Genomic DNA, 25,757 nt, shown 5'->3' with positions numbered 1-25,757 from the left:
CTATAAAGATATCTGAAAATGTGGAAGCAGCTTTGGAACTGGGTATTGGGCAGAGGTTGGAAGAATGGGTAGGGCTCAGAAGGAGACAGGAAGATGAGAGAAAGTTTGGAACGTTTTAGAGACTGGTTAAGGTGTGACCAAAATGCTGATAGTAATATGGACAGTAAAGCCAGGCTGATGAGGTCTCAGATGGAAATAAGAAACTTACTGGGAACTGGAGTAAAGGTTACTCATGATATGCCCTAGCAAAGAACTTGGCTGCATTGTTTTCATGTCCTAGGGAACTGTGGAAGTTTGCACTTAAGAGTAACAACTTACAGTATCCAGCAGAAGAATTTCTAAGCAGCAAGGTGTTCAAAACGTGCCCTGGCTGCTTCTAAAAACCTTCTCTCAGACACAGGAGCAAAGAAATGAGTTAAAGTTGGAAGTCCTATGTAAAGGAGAAGCAGAGCATACGAGTTTGGAAATTTTGCAGCCAGGTCATATGGTAGAAAAGAAAAGCCCATTTTTAGGAGAAGAATCCAAGTGGTTGAGTAGCAACAAGTTGCTAGAGAAATTTGCATAACTATAAGGGAGCCAGATGCTAATACCAAGACAATGGGAAGAAGACCTTAAAGGCATTTCACAGATCTTCAAGGCAGCCCCTTCCCATCATGGGCCCAGAGGCCTAAGAGTACTTAATGGTTTTGTGGGCCAGTACCAGGGCACCACTGCCCTGCACCACCCCAGGAGACTGCTCCTTGTATCTTGTCTGCTCTCCTCCAGCCTCAGCTCAAAAAGCCCCAAATACAGCTCAGGTCACTACTTCAGAGGGTGTGAGCCATAAGCCTTGGCAGCTTCTACGTGTTGTTAAGCCTGTAGGCATGGAGAGTGCAATAGTAAAGTAGACTTGACAGCCTCCACCTAGATTTCAGAGGATACATGGAAAAGCTTGGGTGCCCAGGCAGAAGACTGCTGCAGGGGTGGACACCTCACAGAGAACTTCTACTGGGGCAGAGTAGAGGGGAAATGTGGGGTTGGAACTCCCACAGAATCCTCACTGGGGCACTGTCTAATGGAGCTGTGGGAAAGGGGTGTCAGAGGCATTCAAAACAGAGTGACTCCATCTTGAATAAGGGCTGGTGAAATGAGGCTGAGACTTCTGGCTCCATTCCCAGAAGGTTAGGCCTTCTAAGTCTAACCTTAGACTTAGGGTGAGATAGGAGGTCAGCACAAGCTACAGGTCACTAAGACCTTGCTGATAAAACAGCATGTGGTAAAGAAGCCAGCCAAAACCCACCAAAACCAAGATGGCAATGAAAGTGAACTCTAGTTGTCCTCACTGCTCATTATATGCTAATTATAATGCACTAGCATGTTACAAGACACTCCCACCAGCACCATGACAGTTTACAAATGCCATGGCAAAATCAGGAAGTTATCCTATATGGTCTAAAAAGGGGAGGAAACTTCAGTTCTGGGAATTGCCCACCCCTCCTGGAAAGCTCATGAATAATCCAGCCCTTGTTTAGCATACCATCAATAAATAACTATAAGTATCATTAGTGGAGCAGCCCATGCCACTGCTCTGCCTTTGGAGTAGCCATTCGTTATTCCTTTACTTTCTTTATAAATTTGCTTTCATGTTACTATATGGACTTGCCTTGAATTCTTTCTTGTTTGAGATTCAAGAACCCTCCCTTGGGGTCTGGATTGGGACCGCTTTCTGGTAACAGGGCCACCATCCTCAAGACTGCAGAATGGGAGATCAAACAGCAGCTTGCACCCTGCACTGGGAAAAGCCACAGGCACTCAGCTCCAACCTGTGAAAGCAGCTCAGGGGGCTGAACCCTGCAAAGCCACAGGGCAGAGCTGTCCAAGACCTTCGGAGCCCACCCTTGTACCAGTGTGCCCTGGATGTAGGACACAGAAGTCAAAGGAGATTAAGATTTTATGGCTGCCCTTCTGGGTTTCAGACTTGCATGGGGCCTATTGCCCCTTTCTTTTGGCCAATTTTTCCCTTTTGGGATGCAAATGTTTGCCTGATGTCAGTACTTCCGTTGTATCTTAGAAGTAAATAACTTGTTTTGATTTTACAGGCTCGTAGGTGGAAGGAATTCATCTCCAGATTAGACTTTGGACTTGGGACTTGCAACTTTTGATTGCGCTGATGCTGGAATTAGTTAAGACTTTAGGGGGTATTGAGAGGGGATGATTGTATTTTGAAATATGAGAAGGAGGTGAGATTTGAAGAGTCAAGGGAGGGATAATATAGTTTGAACATTGTCCCCTCTAAATCTCATGTTGAAATATGATTCCCAATATTGGAGGTGGCATCTGGCATGAGGCATTTGAGTCACGGGAGCAGACGCCTCATGGCTTGGTGCTGTCCTCCTGATAGTGAGTGAGTTCTCACAAGATCTGACTGTTTAAAAGTATGTGGCACCTCCTCTGTCCCCACTCTCTTTCTTGTTTCTGCTCTAGCCATGTGAGATGCCCATTCCTGTTTCACCTTCTGCCATGAGTAAAAGCTTCCTAAGTCCTCCCCAGAAGCCAAGCCGATGCTGGTGCCATGCTTGCACAGCCTGCGGAATTGTGAACCAATTAAACCTCTTTTCTTTATAAATTACCAAGTCTCAGGTATTTCTTTATAGTAGCACAAGAGTGACCTAATAAATTAGTCAAAGGGAAATGCAACTCATAACCACAATGAGATACTGCATCATACCCACTAGAATGGCTAAAAAGGCTGACAATACCAAGTGTTGGTGAGATTGTGGAGCAACTAGAATTCTCATCACTGCTAGTGAGAGTGTAAAATTGTACAACCACTTTGGAAGCAGCTTGGTATTTTTATAAATTTAAACATACACTTACTTACTTTATAACCCAGCGACTCAAATCCTAGGAATTTATCCAACTGAAGTGAAACTTATATGTCCACCCAAAACTGGTACATGAATGTTTAAAGTAGCTTTATTCACAGAAGCCCCAAACTGGAAACGTCCCAAACATCTATCAACAGGTAAATGAATAAACAAATTGTGGTCTACCCCTACAATATTAATACTACTCACTAAAAAGGAATGAATTGCTGATATACTCAATAACAGGAATCAATCTCAAAAATATTATGCTGAGTAAAAAAGCAAGAAAAGGAGTACATAGTATGTGATTTCCTTAATATGAAATTCCAAAAAATATCTGAAATCTAGTAATAAAATGATATCAGTGGTTGTCTAAGGTCAGGATGATTTGGGGGATTGATTGGAAGGGGTACAAAAGTAATTTTTGAGGTGATGGAAATATTCTATACCTTGATTGTGGTGATGGTTGTTATGGAGATGTATGCACTTGTTGAATCCACCAAACTGTATGTGCATTTTATTGTTTGTAAATTATGCATCAATAAACTTGATGTTAAACAATTGTGTCAAATACTATTGAGATGTTAGGTAAGTCAAGGACAGAAAAGGGACTATTAGGAATGGCAATATTAGAAGTCATAATGGCTTTATTAGGAGTGTTTTCAACGGAGGGATAAAGACCAAAACCTAACCAGTGGGTTAAAAAAGAAGGAATTGATTAAGTGGAAATACACAGTTCTGTTTTTTGTTTGTTTGTTTCTTTTTGATACAGGAATTCACTCTGTCACCCAGCCTGCAGTGCAGTGGCACAGTCACAGCTCACTGCAGCCTCAACCTCCCAGGCTCAAGTGATCCTCCTGCTTCAGCCTTCCAAGTAGCTGGGAAAACAGGTGCGTGCCACCACACCCAGCTAATTTTTGTATTTTTTTGTAGAGGTGGAGTTTCATCACGTTGCCCAGGCTGGGAAATACACAGTTCTTTTAAGGACTTTTGAACTGAACTGAGGCAGAGAAATGGGGTGGTACTTGAGGGGCATGTGGCAGCCAAGGGACTTTTTTTGAAGATTGGTATTGTAAAGGCATATTTGTATGCTGAGGGAAATGATCCAGTAAAGAGAGTGAGATGGATGACACAAGGAGAAAAAGAAGGTATTGCATGAGAAAACTGTAGAGACGTCAAGAGGGTAGGGGATACAAAGCACAAGAGGAGGTGTTTACCTCTGATAGGAGCTGGAATGCATTGTCCACCTGAGCAGGAGAGAAGGCAGGAAAGGTGGGTACAGACACAATCAAAGGTTGGTAGATTTTGTTGGGGGAGAATGAAGGGTGACTCATCTGATTGCTGCTTTTTTTGTCAGTGATTTAACAATGTGTTGGGGAAAAGGTGTTACAGGCTTAAAGCAAGAGATTGAGTTGGGAAACAGTTGCTCTGGGCGGGAGGAACTCACTAGAAAATGTGTTAGGACTGTCTAGTTGAGATGACTGCCCGTTTGAGTTCTTTTGTCATTCATGTGAAAAGAAACCAATAGGCAGGGGTGTGCGGTTTTCTCTCACAACATTCAGCTTCTGGGCTGCAGACGTATAATACACAGAACTTTGCATTTAACTAAGGCTGGCACTTTCCAGGTGCCTATGCAGGAAGAGCTGGACAAAAGATTTTAGCATGGTTGCAAGGGAGTGGATATATGAGACCTAAGTGCCTATGTTAGCCTATATAAGGGACCTATGTTAGCCTAAGTGCCTGGAACAGATTAAGAATCAATATAAGGCACATAGGCTAACGTCTGTGCCTAATATAGAACCTAAGTTAGGTAATGAGGGAAATGAGGACAAGGGGGTGTCATGGGTAGAGGAACAGTGATGAGGTTAACAGATTAGAGGCTCTGCCAGGGTCTGCAAATGGATGGGATGGCAGTAAATGAGTTGGAAGGCTAAGAGAGGGTAGTCCAGGAGTGTGGTGCTTAACATTAAGATTTCAGATTTGGTTCAGTTCTTCAGGTGATCAGGATTAGGAAACAATCATGTGAGTGATGGCTGAGGTGGGGTGGATCAGAGACCTGACAGTCCAAGGCTTTGGATAGATGATCTGCATATGTTCAAAATCACCAAGAACGGTGACAGAAGTAGAGACTGAAAGGAGAGCTGCAAGCCAGGACTAGAGGCATGAGTAAATGAGCGTGAGTGACCAGGTGGAAATCACGAGGTGGCCACCGCACGGAATGTGACAGTTGTCAGGTCTGATGGTTTGCTTGTCTGTATTCCCAGCCACTGGCTCCTTGCTACTAAGTCCTGATTCTCCCTTAATATGGTTTTGAAGGTGGAGATAAGGAAGGACAACAAAATTGATTCTATGTTTTTAATGTATCCATTTTCCTCTCTCAGAATTTCATTGATTTTTCTACGTTGATTCACCTACTCATGCCTTGCTGGATGAGTAATGTTTTGAGAAAACTCACTGCTGATGGGATTAGCGGTGTTTGGAAGGGATTTCTCAGTGATTACCTGATGCACGCAGACACTTAAACACTACTGAAATTGCTACTGAAGGGCTTAAAATAACTTTGCTGAACGTTGTTAACTGTGCTATATGTGGCCCAAAGATTCAGCTGTTTTTACTTAGTGTTATGCCAAGACCACATTTACCTGCATGGGGCAGACTTCCATCCCCAGCTCCCTTATTTCCATTAGTGGCATCATTCAAATTTTAAAAATTATTATTAATAAGTATAATCATAATAATTACCATTTGTTGAATATCCACTATGTGCCAGACACTGAACTAGCTGTGATACCAAGACATAGCAGTTATTGAATTTTAATATGCTCCAGGCACGTATGCTTTGATTGTGTAATCTAATTTACACTTCACAGCAGCCTGATGAAAGGTTAAGGCTAAGATAAAGAGATTATAGCTCAAAACTTCTTGGCTAAGATCTCACAGTTATTAATAACTGGATACAGATAAGGTTCAAAACTCTGGTTGACTCTGAAACATATGCATTAACACTACACTATACTTGCCTTTACTGTGTGCCTCACCGCATGCAATGATGAATGGTCCCGTGAAAGTTATCATCCAGCAGAGGGAAGCAGACCTGCAAACAAACAGGTTAAAACCCACATGAAGAGTGCTAAGATGAGGGCTCCGATGAGGGTAGTAGATAGTAAATGATGAACTCAAGACACTTTGAAGGAAGTACATCAAATATTTTGCAGATTGACTCACTGCCTGGCTACAATAATAGCCTCTTAGTTGGTGAGCTCCTGTCACCAGGCCTTTCTCCCATACGACTCTGAATAGACTGCCAGAGTTCATCTTCCTAAAATACTTGTGCCTAAAATGTGCACTTGCTCCATTTTGCCTATGTCATGGTGCTTTTCATTCTTATTCTTCTTCATGAAATTATTTCTTTCTTGCTCTGTCACCCAGGCTGGAGTGCAGTGGCACAATCTCAGCTCACTGCAACCTCCACCTCACAGGCAAAAGTGATCCTCCCCCCTCAGCCTCCCAGTGAAATTATTTCTAACTCTTGCTACGGTAAACATGCATGGGACTATCTGTCCTAAACTCCCTCCAACTTCTAGTAACTGCCCTCCTTCCTGTGTCCACAGCCTCTTCTCCCACACTGGCTTCCTCCACTTGGCAGGGGACAAGCCACCAGCTGCTCCTGCATTTGACATCGATGTCTTTCTCCCGCAAAGAGAAGCTACACTCTTCTTTGGTTCCAATGCTAAAAACTCTGGGTTGGGGCACTAATGGGCTTGATTTGGATCAGGTGCATAAGCCTGCAAAAATGAATCATAGCCAGCAACAGGCAGCGGGAAGGCGGAAAGTTGGAGCATGCTCTTCTCTATAACCATAGTACAAGGAGCATGATGTCCAAACACTGAAAGAGAGAAAGGGAGAGAATGACAAAACGAGGGTGGTTTATTTCTTAAGTCTATTAACATTTGGGGAATCTGAGTGAAAATTACAAGATTTACCTTGTAAGACATTTGTATGACTCTGAAATTATTTCAAAATAAAATGTTTAACAAATGTGTTTTTTTACCATGATAAAAAAGGGTAAAATATACTGTTTAAAAAATGGCCTTGGGGGTGGAGCCTGTGTGCTCCAGTTCCCACAGAGCATGCCACTCCCATTACCTTACACTTGAGCTCGCATAGGTACTTTGACAAGCCAGCCTTCTGAAGGCGATTCAAGGGATATGCAGCTATTATAGAAAGGCCAGACTGGGGAGGACATTGAACACTGGATTTAGGGAGGTCGATGTTACTTTATATCAATAAGTAGGTCTTTGGAGGTTTCGAACAGTGGAGCAATATTATTTAGAAAAGGAATTCCATGTGGAGGACAATTTGGAAGGAGAAAGACTCCAGGAAGACTTATATAAGAACATTGCAATGGAAAGGGAAAGGAGAAATGTGAGTTAGATGTTTAAAGAAGAATCAATAGAATTTGGCTACTGCAAATGATACCATTATTGGAAATAGGGGATGCTGGAGGTTGGCAAAAAAGAGATGGGGCCAGAGAGGAGGTACAATAGTTTCTAGGCAAGGAGGATCTGTTTCCTTGCCTTTTGCAGCGTCTAGAGGCTGCCTGCATTCTTTGACTCACGGGCCCCTTCCTCCATCTTCAAAGTCAGCTGCATGGCATCTTCACAGCTCCTTCTGCCTAGGTGTCCTTTGTTTCTGTTATCACATTGCCTCTGGCTCAACCCTCCTGCTTCCCTCTTATAAGAATCCTTGAGATTATATTGGGACTATCAAGGTAATTCATGGTAATTCCCCAAGTCCAATGAGAGCTGTCCTTGTAAGAGAAAGACAGAGGGAGATCTGAGACTCAGACACACAAGGACATGTGAAGACGGAGGCAGAGATTGAAGTCATGTGGCTCCAAGCCAAGGAAAGCCTGGAGTCACCAGTGCTTGGAAGAGGCAAGGTAGGATCCTCCTCAAAAGCCTTAGGAGGGTGCACATTTCTGATGACACTGTGATTCCAGACTTCTGAGTTCTACCACTGTGATTTGTTTTGTGTTTGTCTGAACATGATTTCAGTAGGTGATTTAAGGCTTTTGTCTAATAAGTCCATCTAATATCTTGGCTTCATCAGGGACAGTGTATTAGTTAGTTCTCACGCTGCTAATAAAGACATACTCAAGACTGGGTAATTTACAAAGAAAAAGAGGTTGAATGGACTCAGTTCCACTTGGCTGGGGAGGCCTCACAATCATGGCAGAAGGCAAAGGAGGAAAAGGCATACCTTACTTGGTGGCAGGCAAGAGAGCTTGTGCAGGGGAATTGCCATTTATAAAACCATCAGATCTCATGAGACTATTCACTACCACAAGAACAGTATGGGGGGACCACTCTCATGATTCAATTATCCCCACCTGGCCCCACCTTTAACAGGTGGGGGTTATTACAATTCAAGGTGAGATTTGGTTGGGGATACAGCTAAACCATATCAGACAGTTTCTACCAACCACTTTTTCCCCCTGCGTATAAGCCATACTTTGTTTCTTTTATATCACATATATTTTTGTTATTGAAAACTGGACATTTAAAATAATTTAATGGAGCAGCTCTGGAAAGCAGATTCTCTCCACTTCTCAAAGTTTGTTGTTGTTGCTGCTTGTTGGTGTTGCTATTCATTTGTTTGGTGACTTTTCTGAATGAATTCTGTAAAGTCTGTATTCTCTTTCATGTGTGGCCACTGACATTTCTGCTTGGTTAGCTTAACAGTGCGCTAACAATTGAACAGAGATTTCCTTAGATGCCTGGAACCATTAAGCCTCTTTGCAAGAGGGCTCTGTGTGTGTTAGGGCATGCCTTCAATGCTCAACCAGGTACTCTGCTCTATTTTGGCTTCACTTCTTACTTGCATGGGGCGAGCCAGAGGTAAGAACTTAGCACTCGCTCAGATCTTTCCTGAGCACTTGCAGAGCTCTGGGCTTGTGCACAATCCTTTGCTTCTGTGTGGCCTTCTAGATTCCCAGGAATATGTCAGAGCATTTTTAAGCCCCATGTAGACATTTCACACCTTGCCTTTTTCCTCCAGCTTTTTGGTTATCCTATTGTGCTTTGAAGGAACACTAGCCCCTTTCTGCTACCTCCAGTGGCTGTCAGGCTACTGGTTTTAACCATTATTGTGGGCCATTGATTTTTGTGGCTACCCTATAGCCAGAAACTGGGAAGGGAAATGGCAATTGGAATGTCATGAGGCTCATTGTTCTTACCAAGATTCAACCATTTTTTCTTGAAAAAAAAAAATGCTCCCTGATGGCTTCAAGCCTTTGATTAATTTCTAAAATTCTGAAAAAGTTGACTCTGACAATTTTGCCAGTGTGCTCATTGCTTTTATGGAGGATAGAGTTTTGGGGGGGTCCTTACTCTGTCATTTTCACTGATGTCATCTTTATAGTCTTTTTTTAAGCTTTGATTTTCTATGTTTAAAAAATTTTTTTTTAATATTTTAGATTTAGGGGGTACATGTTCAGGTTACTAACATGGATATATTGTGTGATGCTGAGGTTTAGGCTTCAACTGAAACTGTCACCCAGATAGTGAACATAGTATGTGACAGGTAGTTATTCAGCCCTCCCTCTCTCCTTCCCCTCTTTTGGAGTCCTGGATGTCTATCATTCCCATCTATATGTCCATGTGTACCCAGTGATTAGCTTCCAATTATAAGTGAGAACATGCAGTATTTGGTATTCTGTTTCTGTGTCGATTCACTTAGGATAATGGCCTCTGATTGCATCCATGTTGCTGCAAAGGGCATGATTTCACTTTCTCCTGTGGAAGCATAGTATTCCATGGCGTGTATGTACCACATTTTCTTCATCCAGTCTACCACTGATGGCCGCCAAAGTTGATTCCATGTCTTTGCTATTGCAAATAGTGCTGCAGTGAACATGCAAGCACAGACATCTTCTTATTAGAAAGATTTATTTTCTGGGGGTATATACCCAGTAATGGGATTGCTGGGTTGAATGGTAATTCTATTTTTAGTTCTTTGAGAAATCTCCAAACTGTTTTCCATAAGGGCCGAACTAATTTACAGTCCCACCAACAGTGTATAAGCATTCTGTTTTCTCCACAACCTCTCAACCCCTGTTAATTTGTGTTTTTTTTTTTTTACTTTTTTAATAATAACCATTCTGAGTGGTGTGAGATGATATCATATTTTGGTTTTGATTTGCATTCTTTGATGATTAGTTATAATGACCATTGTTTCATATGTTTATTGGCTGTTTGTATGTCTTCCTTTGACAAGTGCCTGTTTTTGTCTTTTGCCTGCTTTTAAATGGGTTATTTTTTTTCTTGTTAATTTGTTTAAGTTCCTTGTAGATTCTGGATATTAGTCATTTGTTGGATGCGTAGTTTGCAAATATTTTCACCCACTCTGTAGATTATCTGTTTCCTACGTTGATAGGTTGCTTTTTTTTTTTTTCCTGTGCAGAAGTGCTTTAGTTTAATTAGGTCTCTTTATCAATTTTTGATTTTGTTGCATTTACTTTTGAGGACTTAGTCATAAATTATTTGCCTAGGCAAATGTCCAGAAGAGTATTTCCTAGGTTTTCTTCTAGAATTTTTATAATTTGAGGTCTTACATTTAAGTCTTTAGTCCATCTTGAGTAATTTTTTTTGTATAAAGAGGTCAAGTTTCATTCTTTTGCATATGGTTAGCCAGTTTTCCCAGTACTGTTTATTGAATAGAGTGTCCTTTCCCATTTCTTTATTTTTGCCCATGTTGTCAAATATCGTTTGGTTGTAGATGTGTGGTTTTATTTCAAGAGTCTCCATTGATCCATGTGTCTATTTTTGTACCAGTACCATGCTATTTTTGTTACTGTAGCCTTGTAGTATAGCTTGAAGTCAGGTAATGTGATGCCTCCAGCTTTGTTCTTTTTGCTTAGGATTGCTTTGGTTATTTGGGCCCTTTTTTGGTTCCATAAGAACTTTGGAATTGTTTTTTCTAATTCTGTGAAGCATGATGTTGAGATTTAATAGAGATTGCATTGAATCTATATATTGCTTTGAGCAGTATGGATATTTTAACAATATTGATTCTTTCAATCCATGAGCATGGAGTGTTTTTCCATTTGTTTATGTCTTCCATTATTACTTTTATTTTCAATCTACCCTTAGTAAATTTTAAGTATACAATAAAGTATTGTTAATTGTACTCACATTGCTGTACATTAGATGTCCAGAACATATTCATCCCACATAACAGAAACTTTGCACTACTTGCCTAACATATTTGCATTTGTCTCCCTCCACACCCAAGATTTTTTTTAAGCTGAAAAATATTTCTCTGTGTATATATGTGTGTGTGTGTTTGTGTGTGTGCATATTTGCATGTGTAGTTCCACATTTTCTTTATTCATTAATCCATTGAGGGACATTTAGGTTGTGTCCATATCTTAACTATTATGAATAATGCTAAAATAAACATGCAAGTGTGGATTTTTTCAAGATCATAATTTCATTTTGTTTGGATATACACTTACTAATGGGATTACTGAATCATATGGAAGTTCTGTTTTTAATGTTTTGAAGAACTTCCATATTATTTTCTATACTAGTTTTACCAAGTTACCTTTCAACCAACAGCACACAAGGATTTTTTTTCTCCACATCCTTGCCAACACTTTTTATGTCTCATCTTTCTAAAAGCCATTTTAATACGCATTAGGTAATATTTCATTGTAGTTTTGATTTTTCATTCTCATAATGATTAATAATGTTGAGCAGTTTTTATATATTCATTGGCCGTTTGTATGGCTTCTTTCGAGAAATGTCTACTCAGGTCCTTTGCTCATTTTTATTTGATTTTTTATTTTTGATTTCCATAGGTTTTGGGGGAACAGGTGGTGTTTGGTTACATGAATAAGTTCTTTAGTGGTGATTTCTGAGATTTTGGTGCACTATCACCTGAGCAGTTATACACCGTACCCAATTTGTAATCTTTTTTTTTTTTTTTTTTTTGAGATAGAGTCTCGCTCTGTCGCCCAGGCTGGAGTCCAGTGGCGCGATCTCAACTCACTGCAAGCTCCATCTCCCGGGTTCATGCCATTCTCCTGCCTCAGTCTCCTGAGTAGCTGGGACTACAGGAGCCTGCCACCACGCTCGGCTAATTTTTTTTGTATTTTTAATAGAGGCGGGGTTTCACCGTGTTAGCCAGGATGGTCTCGATCTCCTGACCTCGTGATCCGCCCGCCTCAGCCTCCCGAAGTGCCGGGTTTACAGGCCTGAGCCACCGCGCCCAGCCAGTCTTTTTTCCCTTACCCCCATCCCACCCTCCACCCTTTCCCCTCAAGTCCCCAAAGTCCATTAAATCATTCTTATGCCTTTGCATCCTCATATCTTAGCCCCCACTTATGAGTGAGAACATACGATGTTTGGTTTTTCATTCCTGAGTTACTTCACTTAGAATAATGGTCTCCAATTGCATCCAGGTCACCGCAAATGCTGTTAATTCATTCATTTTTATGGCTGAGTAGTATTCCATGGCACATATATAGATATATATCACAATTTCTTTATCCACTCATTGATTGATGGGCATTTGGGCCATCAATTAATATTGATAAATATGAATATTTTTGCTGTTATAAACATGTGTGTGCAAGTGTCTTTTTCATATAATGACTTCTTTTCCTCTGGGCAGATAACCAGTAGTGGGATTGCTGGATCAAATGGTAGTTCTACTTTTAGTTCTTTAAGAAACCTCCCCACTGTTTTTCATAATGGTTGTATCAGTTTACATTCCCACTAACAGTGCAGAAGTATTCTCTTTTGACCACATCCTGCCAACTTCTATTATTTTTCAATTTTTTTATTATGGTCATTCTTGCAGGAGGAAGGTGGTATTGCATTGTGCTTTTGATGTGCATTTCCCTGATAGTTAGTGATGTTGAGCATTTTTTTCATATGTTTGTTAGTCATTTGTATATCTTCTTTTGAGAATGATCTATTCATGTCCTTAAGCCACTTTTGGATGGGATTGTTTGGTTTTTTTACTGCTAATTTGATTGAGTTCCTTGTAGATTCCTGATATTATTCCTTGTTGGATGTACAGATTGTGAATATTTTCTCCCACTCTGTGGGTTGTCTGTTTACTCTGTTGATTGTTTCTTATGCTGTGCAGAAGCTTATTAGTTTAATTAAGTCTCATCTATTTATCTTTATTTTTGTTGCATTTGCTTTTGGGTTCTTGGTCATGAAGTCTTTGCCTAAGCCAATGTCTACAAGGGTTTTTCTGAAGTTATCTTCTTGAATTTTTATGGTTGCAGGTCTTAGATTTAAGTCCTTGATCCATCTTAAGTTGATTTTTGTATAAGGTGAAAGATGAGGATGCCTTCTGACTGGTGTGAGGTGGTATCATATTTTGGTTTTGATTTGCATTTCTCTGATGATTACTAATGATGACCAGATGAGAAGAAGGTTTGTGATTGTTACGTGAAGTATTCTGTAGATGTCTATTAGAGTCAGCTTGTCAGTACCTTAAAAACCTACTCAAATTTAAGTGCAGAATTTGTTAGTTTTCTGCCTTGATCTGTCTAATGCTCTCAGTGGGATGTTGAAGTTCCCTACTATTATTGTGTAGCTCTCTAAGTCTTTTCTTAGGTCTAGTAGTAATCATAAGTCTTCATAAGGGTGAAGGTTTCATAAGGGTGCTTCAATATTGGGTGCATGTATATTTAGGGTAGCAAAATCCTCTTGTTGAATTGAACCTTTTATCATTATTTAATGCCCTTCTTTGTCCTATTTTTACTATTGTTGGTTTAAAGAGTCTATTTTATCTGGTAGAAGAATAGCAACCTCTGTTCTTTCTGCTTTCCATTTGCATGATAGATCTTTCGCCATCCCTTTACTTTGAGCCTGTGGGTGTCATTCCATGTGAGATGGAACTTTTGAAGACAGAAGAAGATTGGGTCTTTTGATCCACTTTGCCACTCTCTGTCTTTTAAATGGAGTGTTTAGGACATTTATGTTCAAAGGGGGACAAGAGATGACTCCCTCTCCAAGTCCATTTCTGGGCCATAATTATGCTACTTCAGCAACTAGTGCCACACCTGTGTTTCCTTTGTCCCAAAAAGGAAACAAGTTCTCCTGTCTCTTAGAGGCAGGGCAGGCCACACTGAAGGTTAGGTCACCAGGGGACCTGCAAATCCCAGGAGATCTGCAACTCCCTGGGAAACTGCTGATGTTGTGCTTGCCAGTGTCAGAGCAGTTTGTAGTTTATATCTGTAGGTGGTCTGGTGATGCAGTGGCTTGAGGGTGAGGGATCCCCAAGCAGGGCACTGGCAAAATGCGTGTGCAACCGGTATAATGCCTGCAGCCCAGGGTTTTTAGCCCAGCAGGCAGCTGTGGGGCCTGCCCAGCTCGTGCTCCTCTGACCTCTCTCTGGTGTCTACCCTGGCTGTATGCCCAACCAGCTATGCTTGTTAGATAAAGCCATCTATGCCCAGATTACTAGGCCATTCTGGGTGTTTTGGGCTGCAGGACTCCCCCAGGGGAAAAGCTGAGGCTATCAAGCCACACCTTTCCTGGTCCAGCCTTGCAAAGGGCAGGGTACCCAGTTCCCATGCCAGCACATGAACCTGCACCACACTCTTCTCTGTGCTAGGGAGTGGAGGCTGGGCTGTGGGCACCCTACTGTGGGAGTGGCCAGGCAAGTGGTCTTGGGAGGTGCTGGTAGGCAAGGGGGCTCATGGATCAAAAGTACTTCAGTCCCATAGTAATGGTGGTGGGATCTGTCTTGGATGTGAGAGTGCTCCCAGATCCTGCTGCCTCCTGGCCTGGCAGACAGAAGGAGATGCAGCCATTCAGTGTAAGTCCGAGAGCCTTGGGAGATGGGTAGCTATGGTTACATTTTGCTGCAGGTGCACAATATAGAGATGTCTTCTGGGCTCCATGCAGGTTCAAGCTGTGCCTCTGCTTGTTCTCCAGGCAGCTCCCCTTTCCAGTCCAACTTTCTATGGGTGTCATGGAAACTTCGATAGCTGTAATCTCAGGGGTCTGCATCAGGAATGTGGTGGCTGGGAGTTCCTTCACTCACCCCTTCCTTAGGTCTGGTCCATGGGGCTGGTCCTGGTGCCTGGTGATTCAGCAGGCTGCCACGCTTCTTCCTCCTTCAACCACAGTGCCTCCTTCAACCACAGAGCCACAATTAACTCTGTATTGACTTTTGATGTTTTCCACCATACAATATGTTCAAAGTATCAAGGTTCCTCTCCATGAAAGAGGTGATTTCCAGCCACATCTGGTTGGCCATCTTGCCTCTCTCCAAGCTTAGATGTTGAAATTGAAAATATATTGTCAGTTGTGTTTTAAATACTGAGAAAGAGGTTTAAGTGACTGTTTACATAGTATAAAAAGAAAATTGATGTAGCGTTTCCAATAGCCATATATTTTATTCCATAATGGGATGTTAAAGAAAAGGCAAGGAGGGAATGATATGTTTGATTTACATCCTCATTCTGTATGTGATCTCTGTGGTTAGGAACTGTGTGTAAATATCAGCTTGGAGAAAGGCTTATGTGTCAGATAAAGTATAAATAAACATCTGTGTTCCTCAAAAATCATTAATTAAAAATTTGGAATGCTATTATGAATTAAGGTGGCCTGGATGGCTATGTTAAAGATGATTGAGGAATATCTTGCTGTAGAAAATTCAGTTCCTTTAAGCACTTGAAGCCCACCTCTCACTTTTTCATTTTTGCCTTTTCTTTTCCAACAAACAACTTTACAATTCACACAACAAAAACCCTCATACATTGTTGTCTCTTTTTAAGATTCTCAGCTTTCAGACATTTTTGAATCTTAAAAAGGTGTGTATTGGGTCACTCTGTCCTCTGGCTTGTAGATAATTCAAATCAGCACAACTGCAATGTTAGCTTCCAATGCAACAATCAGTTCTCAGCTATTTTTGCTACCATGACATGCTTGATAAATTATTCTCTTATGTGTGAAACACTGTCAAAAGCACATTCATGTTTTGACAAACATCTCCCAAATTTGGAAGTCATGCACTGTGATTATTTGTAATCATCAGAACAGTTAATCACCCATCTGTAGTGGTGACTCCTTGTGATCCACTGAAGAGATGAACTTGGGCTGTGCATGAGGACAATTCTCAGCATTCTGGCTGTGATGCCACTCCCTTCTCTCCCAAAATGCTAGTCAGCGAAGGTAACATTATAGGGATTCCTTGGAACCATTCTAGTGTGTGTGTGTGTGTGTGTGTGTGTGTGTGTGTGTGTGTAACCTTTTGAAATAATATATATCCTTTTGGAAACTTCAGCACTTTAACTAGAAAGCAACTTAACATATTGCTTTAGGTGCATAGTCTATGGAGCTAGATTGTGTAGGATAGAATCTGACTCCATTGTGTACTCATTATGTGACCCTCTAGTAAGTTACTGAGACTCCAGGCTTCAATTTCCTCATCTATCAAATGAAGGTGATGGTGCCTATGTCATAAAGCAGTTGTCAAGATGCCTGACATAATGTATATAAAGAACTAATTCTGTTTTTCACACCCAGCTAATTCTTGTATTTTTAGTAGAGACAGGGTTTCGCCATGTTGGCCAGGCTGGTCTTGAACTCCTGGCCTCAGGTGATTCATCTGCCTCAGCCTCCTAAAGATCATGTACAACATGATGTTTTGACATATGTATACATTGTGGAGTGGCTAAATGGAGGTAATTAACATATCTATTATCTCACATACTTTTTTTTTTGTAATAAGAACACTTAAAATCTCCTCTTTAGTGATTTTCAAGAATGCAATACATTGCTATTAACTGTAGTTACCATGGTGACTCTTGAATTTATTTCTCCTGTCTAACTGAAATTTGGTATCCTTGATCAACATCTCCCTAACACTCACTTCCCAACATATACTCTTAAAATAATAAACACATTCTCACCTTGAAGAAAATCTAAAAAATACTCAGTAGGTTTTAGGTTGTATTTGCTTGTGGTTAACTTTTATAGAGCAGACTAATCTTGTCATTGAGTCTAAGATTCAGTTCTTTTTAAAAAATATTTACTATTCCAAGAAGTAAGACAAGTTCCTGGCAAGTCATGGAAGCATGACCCTTTGTACAAGCAGATGTGGAAAGGGGAATTCTTGTTTTCTATGCTTGAGCAGCAAGAACAGTAATAGGAGAAGTTCTGTAAATTGTTTTCATTTCTGTTCCTTTTAAAGTATAATTAGAATGACTGGTCTATCAGGTAGGTTACAATATTTGCTGGTAAGCAACTTACTGATATGTGTCTTCTGAAACATTTGCTAAGAGTGATTAAAATGTATGAGGTTGTGTTTCTGGAATGCATCATTCAAGCATCATTTTAGATGGTGGGCACTGAATTAGAAAAGTGAGAACTTTCATCACTTAAACATACTTAAGTATCTCTATATGATATTTCTCATGTAAGAGGATTTTTGCATACCTCATAAACATAACCAATAATTTAAGTTATTTTACATGACATCCACTTTGACAGATGAGATATTTGTCAAAGAATAAAGGCCATTTGTTGCCCAGCGCCTCCGGGCTCTTGTTTGTCATAGTCTCCCTGGCTGCCTCATACTCTTTCCCAATTTTTTTTTTTTTTTTTTTTTCTGAGACAGAGTCTTGCTCTGTCGCCCAGGCTGGAGTGCAGGGTCGCTATCTCGGCTCACTGCAAGCTCCCCATCCCGGGTTCACGCCATTCTCCTGCCTCAGCCTCCCGAGTAGCTGGGACTGAAGGCGCCCACCACCATGCCCGGCTAAATTTTTGTATTTTTTAGTAGAGACGGGGTTTCACCATTTTAGCCAGGATGGTCTCGATATCCTGACCTTGTGATCCACCCGCCTTGGCCTCTCAACATGCTGGGATTACAGGCGTGAGCCACAGCTCCCGGCCTCTTTCCCAACTTTAAATTTAGATGGAAAGAAGAATGCAGGGTGGAAAATTTGGGAACTATGGTGGAAAAGGGAATGATAATGACTGGTGTGTATTGAGGATATCTCAGCTCAGCTGGGTGTAAAAGTGATGGTTCTCTTTATGTTTGGCAACAGAGCCTAGCTGACCTCCAGATATCTACCACACAGTATCTACTGACAGCTCTGTGGAAAGAAAGCGCTTTTACAGAGTAAAGTTGAAACATCAGTGTGATATCAGTGTGTTTTCAATCTTTTGAAGCCATGAAAATCTCTTGCACCTCCCAGAGATTGTGACACGCACTCCTCTTGAGAAGCACTGTCTTCTTTCAAATTCTCATTAGCCAAGATGTCTATCTTTCATGTCTCAGAGGCTGACATGTCCTCCTTGAAGGATGCTGTCCCACTATTACCGTCTGTGGATGAGAATTACTGTCCCAGATGAGTGGACTCCAAATCCCCTATGGGGTGATGAGAAAACATCCAACTTTTATTTACTTTTTTTAAGCTATCAAATGAATTAAATTAAACTTTACTAACAATTAATACATTAGTTAACACTGATAGATTCACTTGATTAGTAAGTCAATCAAGATGGTGACCTGTGATACGCCAATCCTGCATATTCTGAGGAAAGAGTGGGCATATCACAATGGGAAAGGCTGCACAGTGGCACTTTCATTCATTCATCACCTTTCATCACATTGTGACATAGACACTTTCTTTACACTAATTTAGGTGAAATTTATGGTTTCCAAATGACACGGCTAAAAAAGATTCCTACAAAGAAATCACAGATAAAATACAATAGCAGGCCGGGCGCGGTGGCTCACGCCTGTAATCCCAGCACTTTGGGAGGCCGAGGCGGGCGGATCACGAGGTCAGGAGATCGAGACCATCCCGGCTAAAACGGTGAAACCCCGTCTCTACTAAAAATACAAAAAATTAGCCGGGCGTAGTGGCGGGCGCCTGTAGTCCCAGCTACTCGGGAGGCTGAGGCAGGAGAATGGCGTGAACCCGGGAGGCGGAGCTTGCAGTGAGCCGAGATCCCGCCACTGCACTCCAGCCTGGGCGACAGAGCGAGACTCCGTCTCAAAAAAAAAAAAAAAAAAAAATACAATAGCAACATTGTGAGCAGCACAGCACCATGAGTAAATTAATATGAACCATCCATCATGTGAATACAAATCTGTCCAATATTAAATGAGTTTGAGAGTTATGGAATATTACAAATTGCTTATAACATTTTACTAAACTTAATATTAAGTTGTGTAGTAGAAATTGGAGAGTATTTTAAATGAATAACAATAAACAAACACTATGTATCAAAAATATTAGGATTGGGCTTAAGTAGTTCCTAGAAAAAAATGTATAGCCTTAAATACCTATGTTAGAAAAAAGAAATAATTACTTTCATGAGCTAAGCCTACATTTTGAGAGGTTAGAAAAAAATAGCACAATTGGCTCAAAGAAAATATATAATAAAAACAACAACAGAAATTAGTAAAATAGAAAGCATAAATACCATTAGGAAAGATTAACAAAATTGAAGACTGATTTTTTGAAAGGCTAATAAAATTGACAAACCTCTGCCAAGACTGATTAAGGTAAAAATAGAGAAGGCCAAAATAATTAATAACAAGAATGAAAAAAGGGCTTCATGAAAGAGGTTGCAGACACTAAAAATATAGTAAATAGATATAAAAAACTTTATGCAAATAATATTTAAAAATTTAAAAATTTTAATGGAAAAATTCCTAGAATAATGAAACATCAAAACTGATTCAAGAAAAAATTGACATTAGTGGTTAAAAATTGTTCCACCAAGAAAACTCTAGGGACAAATCAAACAGAACAGAACACATCTACAGAACATCAAAAGAAAAAGTGATATGCAAGATTCCAGTCTTCAAAAACAATTGCAGAGAAGTCTTAAAATTAGGAAATATTCTGGAACTTATTTTATGAGGGCAGCATACTTTTGGTGTGAAATTCCAATAAGGATCATATGAGAAAGAAAAAGTACAGGCCAATATAAACAAATTATTAGCAATCCAACAATGTTCACAAGGTTAATATTTCATAAGCAAGTTGTATTTATTCCAAGAATGCAAGTGGAGCATAATATGAGGAAATCAACTAAGCAATACACCACATTAACAAGTTAAAGGAGAAAAATCATATGATCAACTCAATAGATACTGAAAAAGCATTTGAGAAAAATCAGCATCCAGTCATAATGAAAACCATAAGCAAAGCAGGTATAAGGTAACTTTCATAAGCTAATAAAGGACATGCAAAAATTTGAAAGCAAAGGTCAGACTTCATGGAGAAACACTGAAAGTTTTCATTAGTAGTCAGGAACCAGACAAAAAGTACCTATCATCACTCCTATTGAACAGTGCCCAAGACATCCTTCTCCAACAGGATAAGACAAAAAATTATAAGTAAAAGGTATAAGAATTGGGATAAAATCCAAAATTTTTATTATTTTTAGATTATATTATTGTGTATGTAGAAAACCCAATGATTCTACAGATAAATTATTAGAATTAGCTTATCAAGGTTACTAGAGAGAAATTTAATATACAAAACTATTGCATTTTAACAGCAATAGTTAGAAAATATATTAAGAAACAAATACCATTTATATTAACAACAAAAATAAAATACCCAGGAATTGTTTTTAAAAGAGTTATGAAACACGAGGAAGAAAAAAACTGCAAATCATTTGTAAAGATATTACAAACCTAAATAAACAGAGAATACTGTGTTTATAGGTAAGAAATGTTAACGTTATAAAGATGTCAGTTCTCAAATCGACCTTTGGATTCAATGCAATTCCAATAAAAATTCCAACAGGCTTTTTGTGGTTGTTTTGATTTGGGGAACTTGAGGAGCTGCCTGATTCTAAAATTTATATGTAAGAGCAAATGCCTGGTAATAGCCAAGACATTCTTGACAAAAAAACAAAAGAGAAAGACATGTCTTTCTAGTTATTAAGATTTATTATAAAGCTCTAATAGACTGTGGTTTTAGGGCAGGGATAAATAAACTGGCCAATAAATAAAATAGAGTGCTTAGAAAAAAATCCATTTATACAAAGCAGGCATTGAAAAATAGTGGAGAAAGGATAGACTATCACACAAATAGTGCTTAGGTTATTTGCTACCAAATGGAAAGAAAACTTAAATTGTATCCCAATCCCACACAAAAATCAATCCTAGTAAAGACTTCAATATAAAATTTGAAATTTTAAAACTTTTAGGAGAATATCTTCGTGAACTTGGAGTAAGAAAGGATTTCTTAAAACACACAAACAGAGAGAGAGAGCGAGAGAGAGGGAGACCACTAACCATAGGTTGATAAATCAACTGTATTAAAATTAAGAACTTGTGTTTCTTAAAAGAAAATAAATAGAGCATTAAAACAAGTCACATGTTAGGGTTATATTCTTTTAGTACATGTAAATATAAAGATTAGAATCTGGAATGCAAAATGATTCTATGAATTAAGAAAATGACAAACAACAGAAAAAAATGAACAAAAGACAAACAGATGGCACAGAATAGGAAACAAAATGGCTCATAAATTCATGTAATGATACTTAGCCTCAATAGTAATCAAGAAAATTAAATTAAAAACATGAGACTGTTTCAGACCCAACAGATTGGCAGAACAAAGGGGAACAAAGCTTTATTATACCGGGTGTGGGCAAACAGGCAGAGCAACTCTCATGCACTGTTGTTAAGACAGCAAACTGATACAATCATTTTGGAAAATTCTTGGTATTACTTAGTAAAATTAAACATTCGCTTTGACCCCGCAAACTCGTTCCTAGATAGATGCCCGAGAAACTCTGAGATCTGTGCACAAGAAGACAAGGAACAAAACCTCCATGGCAGTTCTACTTGTAAGAAAAAAAAAGAGATATAACTCAAATGTCCATCTATAATAGAAAGGTAAACAAGTTGTGGGTTATTCCTATAATGGACTACCATACAGAAATAAAAACGAATGAACTAGAGCTATACCTATTAGATAGATGAGTTTCAAGATGATGGTGTTGAATGAAAAAAGCAAGTCAGTAAGTATGTGCAGTATGATCCCCTTTATATGGAGTTTGAACAGAGGAAAAAGAAATAATACATTGTTTGGGATACATACGTAGGCATTAAAATTACAAGGAAAAACAGATGAATGATTAATATGATGATGGTTACCTTGAGGAGGGGTATGTGCATAGATTTACTTGGAGAGGACCATACAAATGAGGTTTGAAAGCCCTAGTAATATCCTATTTTGTAACCTATGTGGTTGGTACATGAGTGTTCAATTTATTGTAATTATTTAAACTGCATATCTTAATATACTCTTTTACACTTATGAAATAGTTCACAACAAACATTTAACTAAACATTTACAATTCTACAAAGTAAATACTTAGATATTTTCTTTGATTAGTTACAAACATACTTCTCAAAACTTTTTAACAAGTTAAAAATTACACTCATAAGGAAGAATAACAACATGAGAAAACCTTATTAATTTTGCTAGTATTTACCTAATGATTATAGAATTACCAGGTAAGTATCTGAAATTTTCACGAACAATGAAGTTTATTCTATCATTTTGCTCCTAAGATATTATTACATAATAATTAGTTAAAACCTGATCCTTTGAAAATGTATGGATGCTTTATAATATACATAATATATTATTAAATTAGTACGAACATCTAATTTGTCCATAAACACAAATATTAAGTTGGAGAGGCATGCTCTAAAAATTTCTTACTGGGAAATCACAATATTTGGGGACCATTGCTCATGATATCTTAAGACAGCAGTTCACAAACTGAGGGTGCCTAATAGGAGCACACGTTAGAAATGCTATCTCCTGGACATAACCCTCAGGGTTCTGATTCAGTTAGCCTGCAGAGGGTCCTGGAATATGCATTTTAAATACACAGTCCAGGTGATTCTGTTGCAGGTAGTTTATCAGCCACAATTTTGCTCCAAGTTTAGACCCACCATTAAAGCCACATCTTTAGAGAGCTAGGTCCCTTGACTGTAGAACTGCTTTTACTGAACGTTGACATGATGCCATTGACCTGCACTGAGGGGCTCTGTAAGAAAGAAATACTCCCTTTTAAACTTATGGCAGAAACTAGAATGAAGATGGAGTTGATAAAATAATGTATGTAGAAGAGCAGATCATAGAGCCTGGTACACAGAGAATACTCAGTAAATGGTGCCTTCTTATTGTTATAATACGCTGTCTTCTTTATGAGAGCACTTAGGAGCTAGTTCTTTCTGTTTTTAGTATAGGGAATAATTATGCTATTCTTTGTAATACAGCAATTTGACAGTATGGTTCTTTGTTCAATTTATTTTGATACTTGGTTTAAGTGGCTGTCATAGCTAACAAAAGGTACCTCCCACGGACATGTAGATCCCAACAGAAGAAGTGAAACATTGGTTGGGCTTAATGAATAATTATACCTATTTTTTTCCCACCTCATTTACCAGTTATCCTAAGCAGTTTGTTTTTCTCCTATAGACACTCAATTGAGTGACTTTTGGATTGTTTGCTGGAGTGCTTTCAATCAAATTAGTGGCCCATCCTTGACACTTCATAGAATTTCATGGCATGCAAAAACATGTCTAATTTTTTGTACTATTTTATATTCTTCACCTTTTTCTTTCTCAGCTAGTTCTAAATAATGCCTTTTTGTTGTTATTTCTATATTCTTGTTATTGCCTTAAAGAGTTGTTGGAATACAGTGAGAGGAAGGGAAGGAACAGTGTGTGGGTAGTAGGCATGTCGCTAAGATGGAAAACGAATAGGGAGAAGGGATGCAAGTCTCTTGGTCTTCTCAAGGTCACATACACCCTGGTACAGTAATCAGAGTTAGGGTCCAGGTATCCAATTCACATCATAGTCTTTCATGGACATTTCTCTTTGCCTTTCATGATATTTATCCACTAATTCTATATTCACTGGGTAAATACTGACAAATTAGTAAGATCTTTCATGGAGAATTGTGTTATTTTTGTTTACAAAATGTTCTCCACTGTCTCATAAAAGGTTATGGCACATCTTTTTAGTTAACTTGGAGAAAATTTCCAATGTTCACTCTAAAGAATGATAGGGGAGCAGTGTGTCTTTGATTTCTCTCAGTTGTTTGTGTGTATGTGTGAACTTAGAATATTTATTTTAATTTTTAAATTTTCATTGATTGAATTTTCATGGGCCAAAGTAACTGTTATCAGTGCACCTAGTCTTTTATTTACTTTATTTATTTATTTATTTATTTTTTATGGAGTGTCACTCTGTCACCCAGGCTGGAGTGCAGTGGTGCGACCTCGGCTCACTGCAACCTCTGCCTCCCAAGTTCAAGTGATTCTCCTGCCTCAGCCTCCCGTGTAGCTGAGATTACAGGTGCATGCCTGTATAAAATAAAAAATAATTTTTTTTTATTTTTAGTAGAGACGGGGTTTCACCATGTTGGCCAGGCTAGTCTCGAACTCCTGACCTCAGGTGAACCACCCACCTCGGCCTCCCAAAGTGCTGGGATTACAGGCGTGAGCCACCACACCCAGCCAATCCACCACACCCAGCCAATCCACCTTGTCTTAATAGAACTTTATGAAGATCATTATTTTGAAAAGAGGTTCCTGTTTTTTCATGTAGTTGAGGACAAATTTTTTTCTTATATTTCTACCTACTGGAAACAGCAAAAAGATCCAAGTGCAGTAATAATTTGTTTGAAATGAGTTTACATAATTTTTAATAAATGAAAGCTGCTCATTTCCTTTTCATTAATGCTTCACTGTTTTAGCCACTTTTAATTTCTCTTGCCTTTTTGGAAAGCCTTGCATGCTTGATGATTTTCCTTTTTAAACAGCAATTTGGCATTCAGAAACATCAGCAAGCTTTTTGGAGACTATTCCCATAGGAAATTTCTGTAGGGAAGCTTTTTCGGTAAGTGGCTTAGTGTTTTTAAGATGTTAATAACTTTGCTGATTTGGTCTTTCCTCAGATTGCAGTTAAAATTAATTGAAAAAAACAACAACAAAACTCTCATACACTTTACCTGAAAGCCAAATAGTCTTAAGGAATGGTGGACAAGTAAAGTAGGCTTTGAAGTAATTAATGGTATATCCTTTCACGGACACTGAAAAGTCACGGTTTACTACAAGAAAAGATTCATTCTCATACCTTTTAAGTGATTTTCAGCAAGGAAAGAGAAATAATCAAAGCTAGATTAGTTGACATTCTTATAGACACAATTCTTTACTAGCTAATCATCTGCACATCTACAGTACTGTGATAATTAATGACATGGAGATAATGAAGGATTAAAAAAAAAAAACTTACTCCGTACACTTACTGTACACAGGGCTCCATGTTAAGTGACTTAGATTTGTCATTTCACTTAATACTCTAAACAACCATAAGGGATAAATAGTATTTATATTTTAATTTATTTTATAGATTTTATAGGTTCTCAGAAAGGTTAAACAACTTACCTGAGATTATCTGGTGCTCAAGATGATTAGCTTTAAATACTCATTTCTATGAGCCTGGAGTATAACAGAATATTCTGCTTAAAATACTCACTTTCCTTGGTCAGGCTTCCTCCTGAGTTTTCTTCAGCTTTTTCTGGCTATTCCTCAGTCTCCTTTGGTAATTTCTCCCTCTCTTCCCAGCCTCTAAATTTTGATCCCATAGATTCTCAGACCTCTTGACATTGAGGCCTCTTCTAGTCTCACGCTCTAAATTCTGCCCCAAGTTTAAAATACCATCTAAATGCATGTGATCTCTATATACGGTTATCACCATCCCAGACAAGTCTGACGAGCCCCTGTCATGGATCTTACTGCCTACTTGACACCTCTCCTTGGATCTCTTGCAGACATCTCATGCTCAACATGTACAAAAATCAACACGTGATTTTCTCC

The 25,757-nt window shown here is 39.0% G+C and overlaps 1 annotated feature.

Annotated features, from left to right (window-relative positions):
• Window positions 14,353-14,852: an enhancer, noted in NCBI's record as "NANOG-H3K4me1 hESC enhancer chr11:121083583-121084082 (GRCh37/hg19 assembly coordinates)". NCBI's record gives its function as "activates a minimal SCP1, AML or CMV promoter by ChIP-STARR-seq in primed H9 embryonic stem cells {active_cell/tissue: H9 hESC(primed)}" and the evidence as "EXISTENCE:reporter gene assay evidence [ECO:0000049][PMID:30033119]".

This window comes from Homo sapiens, chromosome 11 (assembly GCF_000001405.40).
Source record: "Homo sapiens chromosome 11, GRCh38.p14 Primary Assembly".
Classification (NCBI taxonomy): Eukaryota; Metazoa; Chordata; class Mammalia; order Primates; family Hominidae; genus Homo; species Homo sapiens.
The sequence above is the reverse complement of the archived record's forward strand: the minus strand, read 5'-3'. Positions and strand labels throughout refer to the sequence as shown.